Raw genomic sequence first — 19,592 nt, 5'->3', positions numbered from 1 at the left:
TCACTCCTTTACCAGCTCACTCTTGCCTAATATAATGCAATTATTTCTCATCAAATGAAAGCACACTGGCTTTCCCTGACCCAAAATAAGATCCAGAGTTCCTTTATCCATCTTTATGTGATCTACATTTCTCTTTTAGTTTAGTCACATTCACCCTTCAATAGATACCCTGTAACTGAAATAGTGGGATATAGAGTTAATTCTTTTAGCACGTAAACATGCAAAGAAATATTACACAGCAGTGAAAATGGAGTACTACATGTAACAATATTGATATATCTTACAAACATAATGTTAAGTAAAAAAGATAATTTGTAGGATAATATATACAGTAGAATTCCATTTACATAAGTCTGAAAGCACACCAGGGCAGAAGTGGGTCATGTAATTAATATAGCCTGTGTTCTGTTTGGCAAGCAAGGCACCTTGGTTTAGAGTTGTGTCCAACCCAAAGAAGAGGAGCTTTTTTTCTAATTTGCACAGAGGCTCTGGATGGGCTACCTATGACTCTGGGTATATGTAAAGGTATTGGTAATATTCTAATTCTTATATTTGGTGATGGGGTCATGGTTTTTATTCTGTAATGTTGTTACCTCAAACCTACTAGTTTGCTTCCCTAGAGTCAGTTGTTGTTGACAGTTGCTTGTATATCCATCCAAAGATACCTAGTGCTTTGGAAGCACAGACAAATGTATATTTGTGCTTTTATACAAAACACAGTAGAAGCATTCTATGACATTGTATTGGATCTTTTTTTTTCTACTTAATGCTATGTCTTAGAATTGTTCTATGGTCACAAATACAGATATACCTCATTTCTAAAATGACTATGCAGCATTCCATCTATATTATGTGCCATAATTTATTTAACTTGTCTTCTATTAATGAGACATTTCAGTTGTTTCCCATCTTTTGCTTTTATGAACAATGCTGCAATGAGCATTCCATTATGGGTATTTTTGCCCACTCATGTGATTATATCCATAGGATAAATTCCTAGGAGTGAAAACGCTGGGCCAAACAGAATATATTTTGACATTTAGTGCCAGATTAAGTTTTTAAAAGCCATAACACCAATTTATTCCCTTGTTAATACAGGGAGTGCTCATTTCTCTCACAGAAATATCATACTTTGTTGTTATTGTTCATTTGATAAGTTAAAAAGAATAGTCAATCACTGTGTTTATTTTCTATTAAGAAAAGAAGATTGATCATAAAAGTTATTTTAAAAATCTTCAGGGGTTCAAAGGAGGTAGAAACATCTGTTTGGGAATGAGGGGCAGGGAAATTCTCAGAGGAGGTAGCCTTCAAGCAGGCCCTGTAATAATATGTAGAACTATGACAGTTGAGATGGAGGCAGGTGACAGAGTGTTCAAGGCGGAGAGTGTGGTATGTAAGGGCACAGAGGGTGGGAAATTGTTTTACAAGTAACCCAGTTTGTCTAAAGCAGAGTGAGCACATCCTGAGTAGTGACAAGAAATGTACTAGGAATCAAAATCTACCTAGTAGGCAGCAAGGAATCACTTAAGTAGGGGCTTCTAGCCTTGATTGCCCATTACAACAACTGGGAGGTTAGAAAATATATATTGATATTAAGTCCCTCCCCAGACAGATTATATTAGAGTCTCCAGTAGGAGCTTTCTCCCCAGGGGACATTATTTTGTAGCCAGGGCTGAGAATCACTGCATTAAGGACAAATGGACTAGGGAGTAAAAAGCTCAAAAGTGGGCTTGCAGATTTAGAGTTGTAGATCACATGCTGTTTACCTCTAAATTTATTTAATAATTTGAAATATGGGAAAAAGATAATTACTTAGTTCCAAATTTAATTTAGATAAATTTCCGCTATAGCTTAAAATGATAACTAGTCTATGTCTCAGAATAATTAATTTTGGCTGGGCGTGGTGGCTCACTCCTGTAAATCCCAGCACCCTGGGAGGCCAAGGTGGGTGGATCACTTGAGGTCAGGAGTTCGAGACCAGCCTGCCCAACATGGTGAAACCCCGTCTCTACTAAAAATACAAAAATTACCTGCGCATGGTGGCAGGCACCTGTAATCCCAGCTACGCGGAAGGCTGAGGCAGGAGAATCGCTTGAACCAGGGAGGTGGAGGTTGCAGTGAGCTGAGATTGCACCACTTCAGCCTGGGCGACAGAGCGAGACGCCATCTCAAATAATAATAATAATAATAATAATAATCATAATAATGTATTTTTTTCTTTCAGGGGATACGATCATTTACCAGGTGGGTGTAATTCACAGTGAAAACTGCTTACACATCAGTGATTTGAGGCAGAGGCCGCCCGACTGCCCCAGAATTCCCCTAGAATTAGATGGTTCTTAGAGCTTGGTGAAGCGTCGCCTTGACACTAGGGGGAGCCATGGACTGTGATTAGGTGAAAAACTGCAGCTCCAACGAAACAGAGGTAGAATTTGAAGAGGGAGGAGACTTGGAAAGCATACGCTCTGGTCCCTCATTTCCGTTTTACTTTTTAATTTATCTTTTGTGTGTGCAAAATTTTCTTCTTCTCTTCTCTTTTCTTGTCTTTTCTTTTCCTTTCTTTCTTTTTTTTTTTTCCGGAGTTTAGCTTTTGTTGCTCGGGCTGGAGTGCAATGGCGCCATCTCGGCTCCCTGCAACCTCCGCCTCCCAGGTTCACGCGATTCTTCTGCCTCAGCCTCCCGAGTAACTGGAATTACAGGCGCCTGCCACCCGCCCTGGCTATTTTGTATCTTTAGTAGAGATGAGGTTTCACCGTGTTTGTCTTGTACTCCTGACCTCAGATGATCAGCCCGCCTCGGCTTCCCAATGTGCTAGGATTACAAGCTAGCACTTTGAGCCACTGGGCCCCGCCATTTTCTACTTTTCAAATAAGTTACATATTTATATAGTTCTAAGTTTACAAAGTAAAAATGCTGTACAGTCTGTGCAGTGGATATTCTCTCTGTATGCCTTCAGATCTACTCTCCACTCTGCCTTGAGCCCCAAGAGGCTCATCCCTAAGGATGTCCAGAGATCCAAGTGCAGAAGGAGAATGTGGTGAGGCTATTTATTCCCCCAGTGCCTTCCCTGCTGGGCTATGGATGAACAGTGGCTGACTTCATCTAGGAAAGAGCTATGGCTTCTGTCCCGTAGCCCCTTTTATACCTATAGCTCTCTCTCTCTGGATTCAAGTAACCACTTACTCCCCTTCTTCATCCTTAGGACTTAGGTATGATAATGATTCCCCTCTGTAGGTTGCCCATTGGAAAGTGTCAGCATCCTTTGTTGGGTGCCTTAGCCCTGTCCACAACTTTGTAAATAATTCTGTCACTCAACTCCTCGATGACGCCTTTTGAATATGCCATATATTTCCTGCTGAGATCCTAACTGGTACGTTCTCCTTCCTCACTTCTCTGTCCCACGCCAATTCAGTTCTCCTCTTGAAGCAACCAATTTTAGAAGTTTCCTGTATTTATGCAATATGAGCATAAAGGAATATATCTAGTCCATTTATCCTTTCTTGTGCAAATTGTAGTATATTATATGTCCTGTTCTGCACTGTAGTTGTTTTTTATCCCACATAATAGTATATCCTAGAGATCATTCTATAGCAGTATGTAGGGGTCTTTCTTATTACCTTTTTTTTTTCGGGTTTAGAGCAGAAATTTAATAGGTGAAAGAATGAGAATAGCTCTCTGCTACAGAGAGGGATCCTGGAAAGATAGGTTGCCAATTCACAGTTTGGATACGGAGGCTTTTATAAGAAACGGATAGGGGGCTGGTCATATCATTTGCATAAGGTGTGCATTTCTGGTAATTCCACCCCATCTTCCTAGTGTGGATGTGGGCTCTTAGCTTGAATTACTCCATGTTGCTTCGTTTCCCTTACTGCACATGTGTCAGGGGACAGAATTTTCCATTGCAGGTATGTCTGGGCAAGTCTCCTGTATAGTCTTTCTTATCTATGCAGCTGAGGGGATGTCTTAGTCAAGCCCCCTTATCTCTTGAGCAACTTCCCTTATCTATGCCTGCAACTTGATTTTTTCAGGCTGTTCTTTTGTTTGAAATAATTTAATCTTATTACTTTTTATGGCTGCATTATATTCCATTTTATAGGTGCACAATTTTTAGCCAGCCTTCTATCAACAGACATTTAGGTTGTTTCCAGTCACTTACTTTTACAAATGTTGCTTTAAGGAATAACCTTGTATGTAGGTTATTTCTCCTTATTTTATGTATGAGGAAAATGAAACAGAAAGAGATTAAGTTGTCTAAAGTCAGTCATTGGCAGAGTCTATGTCATTAGTAACACTACTAACACTCAGTTAGTAGAGTGAGACTTGAGTGACCTGTATAGTCTTCATTATGAGACTGGAGTGATCTGAATCTTGCTGAGGGACCCCCACAAAATTTACTGCACATTTCCACTCTTCTTAAAATTTTCACCCTTACACATTTATTTCCTAGCATCATGGTTAAAAGCATGGATTGTATAGCCACAATGCTAGGTTGTATTTTCCACTCCATTACTTATTAGCTGTTGACATTGGACAAGTCACAACCTTTCAGTGCCTCACTTTCCTCATATATAAAATAGTTCCTCATGGTGTTGCTAAGGGCATTAAGTGCCTGCCACATGTTAAGGGCCATATAAGCACTGACTCTTATTAGTAGTGCTCTTATCATTCTTTTGGCTTGTGGCTGTGCTCCATTATTAACATTAAAACACAGCCTGAGAGCTATCTCCTATTTCATCAGTAGTTTACCTTTTATGTAAGTGAGATCATCAGATCACTTCTTGATAGGAAATTAGGGCAGATAATTAGGGATATGTGATATCCCTTGATATGTGAAATGGGGCCTAAATGAAAGGGAGTTTCTGAAGATAACTTCACCCACTTCACAGTTTCATTCTGATATTCCTGTTCACATATACTTAAAACAGTGAGACCCACAAATATTTCCTGAACTGGATTCATTGTCCATAACCCCTCCACCATTCACCATCCTTTACCAACAAAACCAAACCCCATCTTCCTCTCACAAGCCCACATCACATTCAGGTGGATCAATTAACACATCTCAGAATTATCCTTGACTGGTCTCTTCCACATCATCCACATCAAATTTCTTATCAAGCCCTGTAGATTATTAATTCTTAATAGTTTTCATCTTCATTCCCATCCCTTTTTCTCTATCTCCTTTGAGATTGCCTTAACTCATACTCATATTTCTGTGGGCCATTGCAGAACTTTGGTTAGTCTTTCCCACTCTCTCTCCCTCCCCTCCCTCTCTTTCTCTCTTTGCTCTGCAAATATGTATTGAGTGGCTGTTATTTATCAGGCCTTGAACTGGCACAGGGATGCAAAAGTGAATAAGACAGAGGGATCCTAAAGCCAACTGCAACCTTAACGTAATCCTAATACTCAATTCATGAAATTTTTACTCCAAAGAGAATCAGGTATTAAACATACAGTTATACAAATAATTGGTTCAGGATAACAGGAATCTCTGTTTTCTGCTATAGTCTCTCCCTGAAACAGAGAGATTATTAGCTCAGGCTTTATGTCTGGGTGGTGAGGGCTTCCTAGTCTCAGAAATGCATTACAACCTTTGCTTTAGAAAGTCTCTGTGATGGTAAGAACTGGAGTTTGGAGGAGAAGACGAAAGGAAGTGGCCTGACCCTAACGGAAAGGAGAATGCCTGAGACTGTCCTGGATAGGGACTTGGGGGAACAGGTTTGCAGTAGGTTCTATAAGGCTTTGGGATGTTATCACACTTTTGCATAGTTTTCCAAAGACTATGACACTTGCAGTGGGAGAGGCATAGGTAGATGTCTGTGGTGGCCTGGCCTGAGTGCTCTGGCCCCCAAAGCAGTGGCAAGAATTCCTTGTGGAGGACCTGTGGTCAAAAGAGAGAACTTTGTGGGAGCATCTCTGCAGTCTGCCAAGGGCAGTAGGGCCTACCAAATTCCAAAGGACCAGCCCAATGACCTGAGGGACCAAAGACCAGGCCCTCCTCCCTTTTCATGGGGCTGTGTAAGCCCTAGGGCCCTAGTTGGCCTGCCACTGGGTGAGTGTGGTGGGGTGTAATAATTGCAGTTACCTCTGTGTAAGACAATAAAAAATGGTGGCTCCACATGAACCTTATTCCATAAGCTATTTCTATATGGTTAGTTAATTTCTATTCTTTTTCTTAAAAATAAACCAAAAAGGAGTTTTTTTAAAGTCACAAATTAGTTGTGTTATCATGTACATCACAAATTCCCTCTGGGACTCTGTTTCCTTATCTGTGAAATGTGGGGGATGATGTTGGATTTCTGTTCCAGCTCTACTATCCCAAGGTTTTATGTTGTCTCATCCAGAGAACAGAATAGTTAATACAATGACTTGAGAGTTTCTTTCTTTGCTTTAATCATGTTGATTACACTCCCAGCAAAGAAAATGAAAGCTGATGAGATCTATCTACATCACCAAGTATCAGAGTTTATATAATTCATGCTAATTTCTGTAAACTCTCCCTGTAGATGAAACATGCAGTTAGCAGTGAAGTTGAAGCAAGAAATGCTATATCAAGAGCACATGAACTGTCTTTGTTTGAGGCAGATCATGTGAAGTTGATACCGAGATGACTTTCTCACGTGTGACTGGTGACACTGGAAAGAGGAGGAAGGAAATTTTTTGACTTAAGAGACTCTTTATGCTAAATGAACAGGAAAACTCCCCTTCCTCCCTTGAGTAACATGAATCTTACTTGCCACCAGGCCTTTCCAGATGGGGAGTGAACAAGGCTTCATTGGCAAATAGCCAGCTTCTTCCATGGACCTAAGGGGGTTGTTAGAGAATATGCTTTATTGATGTGGCATTTAATTACAGAAGTAGGTATTTTGAGGGAGGAGGGTGAGTAGGAGGAATCAATGTAATTTTTCAACTGGAGAAATAGATTGCTGGATGAGACAGTCATGTGTATTAGAGGTATGGACTCTGGAGACAGACTGCTGTGCTCTTAGCCTGGCTTTGCTACTTACAAGCTCTGTGACTTCGGGCAAATTACTCTCTGTGCCTTATATGTAAACTGGGGACAATAATGGTATCTAGCTCATAGGAGGATTATGTTATAAAGATTAAATAAGTTAGTATTTATAAAGCACATAGAATAGTGCCTGACACATGGTAAGAACTTTACAAAAAGTGTTTGTTGTTGTTGCTGTTATTTTTACATGCCAAGGCACACATATTGACTCAAACTTAGATATTTAAATCAAACTTCAGAACTCAGCTTTAAAGCAGTTCCATACCATATGGTAATAAATTCATCTGCCCGTTATGTGGTTATCAGAGTTAGTTAGATCACTGCAGATTTCTTCTGAGAACCAGGTAAAGAGGTTAAGAAAGAGGAGCTATGTAAGAAGGAAAATGTTGTGGACAGCCAGAAGAAATGTCTTATAACTGGTATTGTAAGTAAGAAATTTTCCAGCCAAACTTTTTCAAAAAAATGATACTGAATTACTTGATAAATCATGTTCTGGGGTTTCTCTAACTTCTCCAGGTGGATTGGAGTAGGTGTGTGTCTATACACCACCAGTATCAAGTGCTTTCAGCTTTCCTCCAAGATGTAGAAACATCAAACAAGTGCATCAAAACTTTTCAATCTATTTTTAAAAATCTAGTCATGTGAGATTATGAAGTGTGAACTCTCATTCATTTAAAGTAATTACCAATTTTTACATATATCCTTAATTTTTATTTTGACATGTAAGATTTCTGGATTTTTTTACTTGTCTTGTTCCCCTGGTCCACAGAGTATAAGAGTATAGCTTGCATTTGGTTCACCTGGTGAATATATGAACACAGTTTTTCATGTGTTGATTTTCTCTAAGATTTGAAAAACTATAGCAAGATTATCTGTAAGATTGTGCCTAGTTGGTGACATTTGGAGGGATCCTTCTTTTTTGAACTCTTTTATGCTTTCTAAATTTTTCAAAAATGAACATGCATTTTAAACAATTGAAATCTGAAAAAAATTAATGTTTGCTATTTGGCTTATATTCTTTTTCTTTTTCTTTTGGTTTATTTTGGCTTATTTTCTTTAAAAAGGAAAATAAATTAACTAGCTTGACTGCCTTCCAGAAATAACCCAGGGAATAAATACATGAAGTCAGTATTTTTTTATTGCCTTAAAAAGAAAAATTTTGCAATTACCCAATTCAGTTTTTTTGTCCCCCCAACACAGGGTTTCACTCTGTTCCCCAGGCTGGAGTATAGTAGTGTGATCATGGCTCACTGCAGCCTCAACCACCCAGGCTCAAGCAATCTTCCCGCCTCAGCCTCCTGAGTAGCAGGGACTATAGGTGTGACCACCATGCCGGCTAATTTTTATCTTTTCAGAGATGAGGGTTTGTGTTGTCCAGGGTAGTCTTGAACCCTTGGGCTCAAGTGATCCTCCTGCCTCGGCCTCCCAAAGTTCTGGGATTACAAGCGTGAGTCACCATGCCTGGCCCCAAATCTTGACTCTAGCATAGGTCCTTGGGTGGTCATCAGTGTTAAATTTCATGATGTGTCAGAAAGACCTTATCTCTATTCTTTTCGAAAATGATTCCACATCACTCTGAGCAAGTCTGGTCCTAGATAAGTAGACAATCTCTTAGATGAAAAGATCCAAGATACTAGGCCCAAAGTGCTGTCAAACAGCTTCCCAGCTGTTTGCTATACTGGACCTGAGGCTATGGAGATCTAGGATTAAATTCTTCAAAGAGAAAAATGGAAATTTGGAAATTTGGATATCTTACCATACTCTGTTTTCTCTATGTGTGAATGTATTTAATTTAGGCTTTGCTTTTTCTCTCTGTGTGAATACGTTTAATTTATGTTTTGTTTTGAATGATATTTCATCCTGAAGTCACGTGATAACATGCAGTATTCAAGATTCTCAGTTCCCCTTACTGCAAAACCACAGTTGCATCTTCAGAAACTGACCTAAATGAGAACAAGGTGATGTAAGAAGACAAAACCTGGATTGAGGTTTTGCAAGATATTAGCAAGTTTCTCAGAGGAATCTCTTTTACAGTCCCAGAGTGAAATTCTGGATATTTTAGCCAAGAATTATTGGCCCCTTGCACTTCCTTATTTTACCAAGGCCCTTGACAGCTGAAAACTCCCTGCAAATCCAGTACCTACTACATTTCACACAGCATCCCACAGTCCCAGAGAGGTGCAAGTGGCTAAGTCTTGATCCCAACTCCTGGAAGCTTACAGTCTTGTCAGAGAGACAGTTACATGGCAACAACTGAGGAATTCTTGAAAAGCAGATCAGGGCTGGGCACTGTGGCTCATGCCTATAGTCCCAGCACTTTGGAAGGCTGAGGCAGAAGGATTGCTTGAGTCCAGGAGTTCGAGGCCAGCCTGGGCAATATAGTGAGACCTTGTCTCAAAAAAAGAAAAAAAGAAAAGCAATCAAATCAGCCCCATTGAAAAGATTGTATCAAGATTGCCTATCCATTTGGGTTTCCAAATTCAGCCTAAAACAAAAACTGTATCACTCTACCCACAATACTGCTGATACCAAACGTATTTTGTTTTTCCACACCAACAACCAGTTCTCCAGCTCTCCAGACACCAGCTGGATGTCCTTCAATTCAATTCACTCACTTCTGACCCTGTCTACCTGGGATCAGCATCAGACCCCACAGGTTAAGGGCTCTGTTCCACAAGACTTCTCCCACTTCAGATGTCAGTCACAAATGGTGAGTCCCAGGTTACTCACGCTTCTGTCAAACTTGGCTACAAGTTGGGCATTCCCAAGACCCCTTCCTTACATTCAATAATTTGCTATAATGGCTCATAGAACTCAGATGCTTTAACTTAACATTTACTGGTTTATTGTAAAGGATACAGATGAACAACCAGATGAACAAGTACACAGAGCAAGGTCCGGAAGGGCCGCCACTCCCCTTAGAGTTGGGGTGCATCACCCTCCTGGCATGTGAATGTGTTCACCAACCCAGAAGTTCTCCAAGCCTCGTACATAGTTTAGGGATTTTTATGGGTGAGCAAGAACTCAGAGTAAGAACTCACCACCGAGAGGATGGCACTAAGACATTCATGAGGGTTCTACTCCTATGATCCAAACACCTCCCACCCAGGCCCCACCTCAAACACGGGGGATTACATCTCAACGAGATTTGGAGGGGACAAACATCCAAACCATATCACCAGGCAACTGTTAGAATTGCAGAATATTGGGCCCCATCCAAGACCTACTGAATCAGTACCTGCATGTTAATGAGATCTCTAGGTGTATTATGTTGCACATCAAAGTGTGAGTAGCGCTGGTTTAGGTGACACCTGGTAAGAAGCAAAGGTTTGCTTTGAAGCATATTCCTTAGATATTGCTGAACACTATATTTCCCTTTATGCTTTCACAGATCTACTATCAGTTGTGCCTCAGTTATATTAACTATAATTCCCAGTTATGAAAAACAGAGACATGAGAAGAATTTAACTTGCCCATAACAACTGGCAAAATTAAAACGGAAGGAAGAGAATGCAGAATGCAGACTCCTCTGCTTCCCTTTCCTTTTCTCTCCATCTTTTTTTCTTACGACCCAGTCTCGCTTAACCTGAATCTCCACCTGGGAGTTGTAGCATTCCTAGGCTAGCTATCACTAAGGTTGGAAAAAGGAATGATCAAGAAGGCTTCAGCCTGGAGATAGTGACTGAAAATCACCCTGGGGCAGCTGGAAAATAAAAAGAAATAACCCTTAAAAAAGATGCTAGGAGGAAAGAAAGGTAATCCCATCTCTACCTGTCCTAGCTTCACTTTCATCTTTTCTGCTTTTTTTCTTTTGCCAATTCACTGTACCATTCGGTTATATAATGTATATATTGAGCACCTACTGTCTGTCAGGCACTGATACCTGCATTTTCCTAGTAACGACAGGGCTTTCTACACACTTTCTGATCTCCCTTGAGACCCTGGCCCTTCTCCAAAGCCCGTAAAAGCCACTGTCTTTCCTGTGTTAAATCTTCTCCCGCTGTGGCCTCAGGTGGCTCATTGGAACAGCAGGAACAGTTAAATCTGGAAGGCTTCAGGGTTTCTGTTATCTGCTCACTCCTCTACATGTGGGATTCTCTGATTCTTTTTCTCTAAAGGGGATATTAAGGGGGAAAATATCCAGGTTCAACTGGGGTTTTAGCACCTGTGGAAAATAATTATTGAACTTGACTGAGTGAAGGGCTGGCTGATTTTGGTGGATCCCTGAGGTCAGAGCTCAGTTGATTCCCTAAAAACCATTGAGTAATTTCCCTCAAAAGAAGATTAGGTTAAAGAGTAAGTTTGAGGTGCACAGAGGGAAACTTTGTGGGAGGGAAAACAGAAGAGAAATAACACCATTACCCCAATCTATTTCTGATAAATCAGCATAGAAAATCCATAATGTTGTAATTCTATTATCAATGGATGATAGAGAAGCATATTACCACAAAACAAGGATGATGAAGGAAAGATATAAAGGGGACATATAGTGATGTCTGTTTTGGCTTTTAAATCAAATTCCACAATAGGACTACATAAGAACCAATTTGAATGCTTACCACAAATTGGTATCTCTGCTTACATATTCTCTTTTTACCATTTTCCTACTGGTATCTGATTCTGTTAACAGTGTACCTACAGGGGCCAGGCACTTTGGGAGGCTGGGGCGAGTGGATCGCTTGAGCCCAGGAGTTTGAGACCAGCCTGGGCAACATGGTGAAACCCCATCTCTATTTCCTTAAAAATTGAAAAGTGAAAAGTAAAAATTAAAAAACAAATTTTAGAAAGTGTATGTACAGTGTCAGGGAAAGGGGAAATTTAAGGAAGAAACATGCAAATATTGAGGTTCTACTGTAGTGCCGTCAGAAGCAACTTTAATCTTTCAAATGTCACAAAGTTACATAGCAACCGTTGGAAAGAAATCTAATCTAGACCTCCAAGTTTCCCCTATTTCTTTAAATAAGGGAAAGTCTTCAGTAATTAAAGACCACTTTAAACCGGCCTGTGGGTTGCTTGAGTTAAAAAAAAAAAAAAAAAAAGAGGAAAGAAAGAATTTGTAGTTAATTGATAGGTGGACACCACATTGAGGGTCAAGTGGTTCAATGTACCTTAGAAGGAACCCATGGTAAGTCTTTGTAACTGAAAGTGAAGCAATGGGCCAGGTGTGGTGGCTCATGCTTGTAATCCCAGCACTTTGGGAGGCCGAGGCGGGCGGATCACCTGAAGTCAGGAGTTTGAGATCAGCCTGACTAACATGGTGAAACCCCGTCTCTACTAAATATACAAATTTAGCTGGGAGTGGTGGCACAAACCTGTAATTCCAGCTACTTGGGAGGCTGAGGCAGGAGAATGGCTTGAACCCGGGAGGCGGAGGTTGCAATGAGCCAAGATCGCGCCACTGCACTCCAGCCTGGGCGACAGAGTGAGACTTTGTCTCAAAAAAAAAAAAAAGAAAGAAAAAAAGTGAAGCAGTATAGTGTTTGTCAAAGCGTGATCTGTGCATTCGTGCCCATCCACAAACTGTTGTTCCTGGTCTGCAAAGGAACTGAGTGTAGAAACTTTAGAGCAATTTCACAGAATAATTTTAAGTCTATTGAATCTAATGGTTAAAAAGATTAAGTCTTCTATTTGTAATACCTTTACTTATTTAATTTTTCTGCTAAATTATTTTTATTATAGCTTTTAAAAGTATTGGTCTGTGAAGGATTGGAGGTTGAAAAAAACAAAGTAACAACAATTTTTTACCACAGTCCGTTTGAGAAGCACCCGTCTAGATTGTGCTTTCAGGTGGTTGCTTTCAGGGCTTTGTCATTGTGCAACACTAGGGGGCACCATCTGCATGGTTGTGTAACACAGCCGCCCTAATTTCTAATGACCAGTGCTAGATAAGAGGGCTGTGAATTATCCAACTGTAGACCACAGATGTGCCTTTATATGGACACATGATTTTGGATGGGTGGGGATATTTTGTAAACTTAAACTGTTGAGCCCAGATATGTAAAACAACTTGTGTTTGAAATGTCAGATTTGTATTATGTATTAACCTGGTAGGCAACTTTTTGATTCCTCAGGACAGAGAGATATCACCCCTTCTACTCCCACTGACCAAGAAAGTTTAGCTGGTTTTGCCAAGATTTGGCAGAAACTGCCTTTTACCATTTCATTTTCCTTTGTGGCAGTTTTGTAAGTGGAGAGGAAGTGTTTGAATCTGAGCCCCCTGCAGCTCCGGTTTGAGTTACAGCTTGAGGTCATTGTTCATTGATAGGCAATCACGTATGTTTGCTTAGAAACAGTAAGCATCTCTCCCAATACATTGTTCTTCTTAATTATGTTTTAATTAGGTGAATCTTAAAATACATTTTTCTTGGTGGTATGATGTAAAGAACTTTGGAGTTATGTAAGCCTGTATGTGGACCCCAGGACTGTTATAATACCTGGCTGTGTTACTTGGGAGATAGGACTCTCAGCTTTCATTTCTCATCAATAAAATGGGGATAATCCTGCCTATCTTGCCAAGGTGTTGTAAGGGGTTAAGTAAAATAATTCATGCAAAACACACCCCACATGGTACTTAGCATAGCACGCTTTCATATGTGTTAATTTCTTCTTCACTTTTATTTGGGCAATAGGCCCAAGAGAACTTAGGGGAAGGATGAATGATAAGTAAGTAAGGCAAGGAAAGGAATGAAAGAACATAGCCTTGGATTGGCAATCTGCAGTCCATTAAAGTCAGCTGGTTCAGGGCATTGTACCCCAGCATGTGAACTAATTTGCATTTTTAATGCCCATCGGCCTGATATCATGGGAATGTGCCCAGCCAATTTGGGAATATCATTCAAACCATCCACAAGGACCATGTATAGCAGAGGTGTCCAGATTTCACCAGCCTTCAGTGGGCCACACTTCTAATTAATGCCCAAATAACTTTCAGCTTCATCCCCTTATGTAACTGTGAGAAGATTAGTCTCTGACTTTTCCCAAAGAATTTCTGGAAATTCCCAGGAATTCTTACCATCTACTAATAGAGCCCCATTAAGAGTCCATCTTGTAATTCCCCAAAACAGAGAACAAGACTATCATTTAACAAAATTTTACTGAAAGAGATGTGGGAAAGAGATTTTACTGAAAGAAAATCATGAGAAGAAATAACAAGGCAGAAAAGAAAAATATAAAACTGGGCCCTGTAGAACATCCCCTACCTTTATCTCATAGGAGGACTATCTCCCCTTTATTCCCTGTCCCTCTACCTTGTGGTAGGGATCAATATTCCTACAGATAACAAGAGTCCATTGACCATGGCTCCCCTTCCCAGACCCCAAGGAAAACAGTCTCAGGGCTGCTCAGTAAATATTTGTTGAATTAATGAATGGTCTTAACCTTCCCATTCCAGATTAAGATCTTGGCTTTATATTTATATGATTGTTAAAATTTTTATTTAGATTTTTTCCCCTCAAACAATCAGTTTCAAATGTAAATTTTGAATCTCCCTTCTATTATACACTTAAAGATCTGTTAAGGGGTAAAAAAAATTTACCTTCCAGATAGGTAATTTTTTTAATTTGGCAACTTGGGAATAGTAGCTTTTCTCTGTCCTTGTACCCAACTTCTTAACTTTAACAATGAAGATTTTATGGGCCCAATGGCCCCAGCCTAAGCTGGTGCACCTTGTTACATAGGGCATTTACTGTTGAGAGCATATTTCTGAGAATCCCAAGATTTTCACTTTTGCATAAAGGCTGACTGAGTAGACTCTGTTATCCTATAATATAGCTTTTAAAACAAATTATTGTACTAGTAGCTAATTGCTCATTAAGATCTAGCTTTATGGGCTAGGCGCAGTGGCTCATGCCTATAATCCGAGCACTTTGGGAGGACGAGACAGGCGGATCACTTGAGGTCAAGAGTTTGAGACCAGCCTGGCCAACACTGTGAAACCCCATATCTACTAAAAATACAAAAATTAGCTGGGCTTGGTGGTGGGTGTCTTTATCCCAGCTACTTGGGAGGCTGAGGCAAGAAAATCGCTTGAGCCTGCAAGGTAGAGGTTGCAGTGAGCCAAGAGCGTGCCACTACACTCCAGCCTGGGCAACACAGTGAGACTCTGTCTCAAAAACAAAAAAAAAAAGATCTGGCTATATTGCTATATACTAACTGTGATAGGTTCTGTAGTTCCTCTCAATAACACTGCCAGGTAAGGTTCGTTATTTTATGTATGAGGAAACTAAGGTTCAAAGAGAACGACTTGTCTGTAGTCATGCAGCTGGTTAATGGCAGAGCTGGATTCAACTCAGGCAAGCTACCTATAGATCTCAGGGCAGGTAGGAAAGGGTTATATTAGACTCAAGTAGGAAGCTTTATGAAATTGCTCCCCACTTCCTGCTTCTCCATGATATTCTGATATGTACCCCAAATGGCTGTGAATCTTTGCAGAAGTCAGTGGTTGTTACTGACCGGAGAGTGAGGAATTATCTTCCATGTTTTGGGGGTGGTAAAAATTCTGAGAACCACCACCACATGTTACTTCTTCCATCTGCCTTCCGCTGCTTGAGGCTTCAAAATAAAGTTGTAAGAAATTCCAGCTCTTTGCCCTTACCAATATAGCCCAGGGTGACTCTTACTTAATTCTGTATATGAGTTCCAGAAAATATAGAACTCTATAGAAAAAAATGTATGGCACTTGGCTGAGATTTTCTGTTGACTTCCCTCCAGTCCTTATAAGATCACTTTTCCCTTACTTGATTGTTGTCCCCCATTGACCAAACCAGCAGGTTCTGGCCACTCCCCTCAGTGACTAAAGCTGTCAGCGTCATTACTAGGGTTAAGGCCCTGTCATGGGCTGCCCCAGCCACACACATATTCCAGCTGCTTTGCCTGTTTTAGTCATCCTGTGACATCTCTTCTTGTTATATAGGATATCATCTATGTAAAAGATGAGAGAGAGAGAGGGCTTCTGTGATCTGCAAACCCTTTGAAGACAAGGCTGATGTTTTACTATCTATCTTGGTGCCTAGTACAGTGCTTAGTACCAAATGAATGATAAAATACATGAGAAAGAACAGGATGGTCTCCTCATGATTGCACTTTCTCAGGATAGGCCTGGACCCTATCTCCATTTCCATAGAAATGGCCCTTTCCCCCAGGTTCTGGTACATGGCCCTGGTTGAGCTAATAAACAGCAACAAAAGAACTTAAAGTCTAAAAATGCTTTGAGGCCTGAAAGAAATTATCTCTGAAGGTGAAGTGTTGAGGTAGAAAGATGGAGAAATGGGGTAAGTGCATGTGCAGGGAAAGGGCAGGGACTTCCCAGCTCACCTCCTGTCATGTCCAGATGCAGCCACATACTTTGCTTACAGTGACTTGTCCTGTGTGGAGGCAATTCTTTGAGGCAAAACTATGCCTTAAAGCCTTAAAGCCCAGCCCAGAATTTCACATCAGCCCTTCTCTAGTCCTGACATTATTCACCAAATAAAAGGCAGATACTTGCTATGTTTTACAAGTTTCTTGTCTGTGTCATCAGCCTTGTTCCATCCTTAGATACAAAGAGGGTTGAAAACAGGATGTTTGAAAACAGGATGTTTGGGTTAAAAAACAGGGTTGAAGAAAAAAAGAATAATATTCAGAAAAGAATGTGGCAAGTGGACATAGTTCTTAAGGAACCCTACAAATGAGATTTGAAAACCTGGCTCATTTCATGATTCATTGACTCAAAGATTTTAAGGACATATTTCAGCTGGTAGAAAAAAGTTCACTTGAGGATAACATCTTGAGAGTCAAGTTGAAGATAAAAGACTCCTGTTTCTGGTATCTCTGTGAAACATAAACGAGGGTACCCTTTAGGACCAAGTACTTCATAGAAAGTTAGAGCTGGAAGGGGATTTACAAGCCATTTCATTTTAGTCTTCTCAGGAAACTGAGGCTCATAGGAGTTAAGTGTCTAGTTTGAAGAATTATGGGATCTTAGAGTAAGAAGATTTGTAATTCATCACCTAAGGGAAGAATACTTTCCAGAGTATCCTGAAAAATGGTAGCTCCAGGCTATGTAGATATATCCAGGAACCAGGAGGTTAACCTTTGATGAACAGCTCTAGTTGTTAGTGAATTCTTTCCATTTCTGGGCCAAATTCTTCTTCAATGTAACTTGCACCCATTGATCTTGGCTCTCATGTCTTCCCTTGATAATTCTTCTCCAGGAGAAATGCGCCCAGCTTCTTCCAATATTCCTAGTCTAGGGGTGGCTTCAAGCCCGATTGCCATCTTGGGTGCTTCCCTCTAGATCTACTCTCATTTATTCATGTCCCAATTAACAAGTCGGGCCCAGAATAGAACAAAATATTCTAGAGGTAGGCTGGCCTAGACATAGTAGGTTCCATAGGACTATTTGTTCCCAGTTCTGAACAGTGTCCTGTCAACACTGCTGAAGTTCTCCTTAGTGTTTTTGTTTTGTTTTGAGACAGGGTCTCACTTTGTTGCCTAGGCTGGAGTGCAGTGGTGAGGTCATGGCCCATTGCAGCTTTGATCTCCTTGGGCTCAGGTGATCCTCCTACCTAAGCCTCCCTAGTATCGGGACTACAAGTGTGCGCCATCACGCCCAGCTAATTTTTGTATTTTTTATAGAGACGCAGTTTCGCCATGTTGCCCAGGCTGGTCTCAAACTCCTGGGCTCAAGTGATCCACCTGCCTTGGCCTCTTAATGGGCTGGGATTATAGGCATGAACCACCATGCCCAACCTCCTTAGTTTTTAAGCAATTGGATTTCAATTCAACCTGCATTTGTACTTAGGGCACATTTGTAGTTTATGAGTATGATACTGTTTAAATTCTTTTCTATTAAATCCCCAGAACTTTTTCATATTAACTGCTAATAAACTGCTCTTCCATCTTAGGTGTGTGGATCAAAAGCAGGACCTTTCATTCTACCTCTTTGGTTTTGACCTCGTGATTCAACCTGGGACTTAATTTTTTTATTTTTTATTTTTATTTTTTGAGGCAGGGCGTCATGCTGTTGTACAGGCTGGAGTGCAGTGGTACAATCTTGGCTCACTGCAGCCTCAACCTCCCGGGCTCAAGCGATCCTCCCACCTCAGCCTCCCAATTAGCAGGGATCACAGGCACACACTACCACACCTGGCTAATCTTTGTATTTTTTGTAGAGATGGAGTTTTGCTATGTTGCCCAGGCTGGTATTGAACTCCTGACCTCAAGTGATCTGCCCGCCTCGGCCTCCTAAAATGCTGAGATTACAGGTGTGAGCCACTGTGGCAACCTGGGATTTTGAAATAGAAACTCTTCTATCCAACTGACTCTCTCTCCCTACTTTATTAATCATCATATATTATAAGCTCATCTTCTATGTTTTCATCCAAGTTACCCATAAGACAGAGGGAAAAAGACAATTTTTTAGTAGTTGCTTTGTCAACCTAACCTCTTCTCTCAACCATATTCACTTACTCACAAGGATATAAATGTACATCTTGTTGTGTGCTGTGATTAAAAATCAATATATTCTATGTCTATGGCAACTCCATGAGCTACCAAACTTGTAACTCCCTAAGCTACCAAACTGGTAACTTTTTTTTTTTCTTTTTGAGACAGGGTCTCATTCTGTTTCCTAGGCTAGAGTGTGGTGGTGTATTCACAACTTACTGCAGCCTCAACCTCCTGGGCTCAGTCGATCCTCCCACCTCAGCCTCCCCAGTAGCTGGGACTGCAGGCGTGCACCATCACACCTGGGTAATTTTTGTATTTTTTGTAGAGATAGGGTTTTGCCATGTTGCCCAGGCTGGTCTTGAACTCCTGAGCTCAAGCCATCTGCCTGCCTCAGCCTCCCAAAGTGCTAGGATTACAAGTGTAAGCCACCATGCCCAGCCCAAACTGGTAACTTTACTGAAAAAGAAATGGGATAAATTAGGCAAGTTACTTAACTTCTATAAGCCCAAGTTTCCTCATCCATAAAATGTGAATATTTGTTCTACTCCCTTTACCAGGTGGTAGTGAGGCTCAACTAGTATAACAAGACATTTGAAAATGCTTTGTAAACTTAAAAAAATTTTTTTTTGAGATGGAGTCTTGCTCTGTCGCCCAGGCTGGAGTGCAGTGGCGTGATCTCAGCTCACTGGAAGTTCCTCCTCCCAGGCTCAAGCAATTCCCCTGCGTCAGCCTCCCAAGTAACTGGTGGGCACTCATCACCACGCCCGGCTAATTTTTGTATTTTTAGTAGAGACGGGGTTTCACCATGTTGGCCAGGCTGGTCTCTAACTCCTGACCTCAAGTGATCTGCCAGCCTCGGCCTCCCAAATTGCATTTTTCTTTCCCTCCCTGCTCTCTTGGGCTACTCCTGTCCATGGGGAGCTCCCACCCACCCTGAATTCCTTTGGGTCTTATGGTCTGGTCCCACTTATCAGTCACTTGATTGCATGTAGCTTTGGTTTTTGTGGTGTATTTCTCCAGCTCACTATACATTCCTCAAACTCAAGGTAGAGCATATCTAATACATACTTTGTATTTCTCACAAGTACACAGTGCTGACTGGGGGTTTCAGAGTCCTAAGACAGAGTCTGAAACACCCTGGGGACTAGATGAG

General features: G+C 40.9%; 1 long non-coding RNA gene across 6 annotated transcripts in view, besides 2 other annotated features; it reads left to right on the top strand.

Moving 5' to 3' along the window:
• INCR1 (interferon stimulated noncoding RNA 1) overlaps positions 1-19,592 on the top strand; it is a 172,297-nt gene that overhangs the window by 26,674 nt on the left and 126,031 nt on the right. For 2 of the 6 annotated variants that reach the window (XR_007061404.1, XR_007061408.1), the window contains exon 3: positions 2,225-2,244. The exons of the other annotated variants lie outside the window; for them this stretch is intronic. This is a non-coding gene — a long non-coding RNA (interferon stimulated noncoding RNA 1). The remainder of the gene's footprint in view (positions 1-2,224; positions 2,245-19,592) is intronic. 6 annotated transcript variants of the gene reach the window in all.
• Positions 8,783-8,902: an enhancer, noted in NCBI's record as "active region_28173". NCBI's record gives its function as "activates an Ori minimal core promoter by ATAC-STARR-seq in GM12878 lymphoblastoid cells {active_cell/tissue: GM12878}" and the evidence as "EXISTENCE:reporter gene assay evidence [ECO:0000049][PMID:35858748]".
• Positions 12,962-13,151: an enhancer, noted in NCBI's record as "active region_28172". NCBI's record gives its function as "activates an Ori minimal core promoter by ATAC-STARR-seq in GM12878 lymphoblastoid cells {active_cell/tissue: GM12878}" and the evidence as "EXISTENCE:reporter gene assay evidence [ECO:0000049][PMID:35858748]".

Source organism: Homo sapiens, chromosome 9 (genome assembly GCF_000001405.40).
Source record: "Homo sapiens chromosome 9, GRCh38.p14 Primary Assembly".
NCBI classification, from domain to species: Eukaryota; Metazoa; Chordata; class Mammalia; order Primates; family Hominidae; genus Homo; species Homo sapiens.
This window is presented reverse-complemented; position numbering and strand designations above follow the sequence as displayed.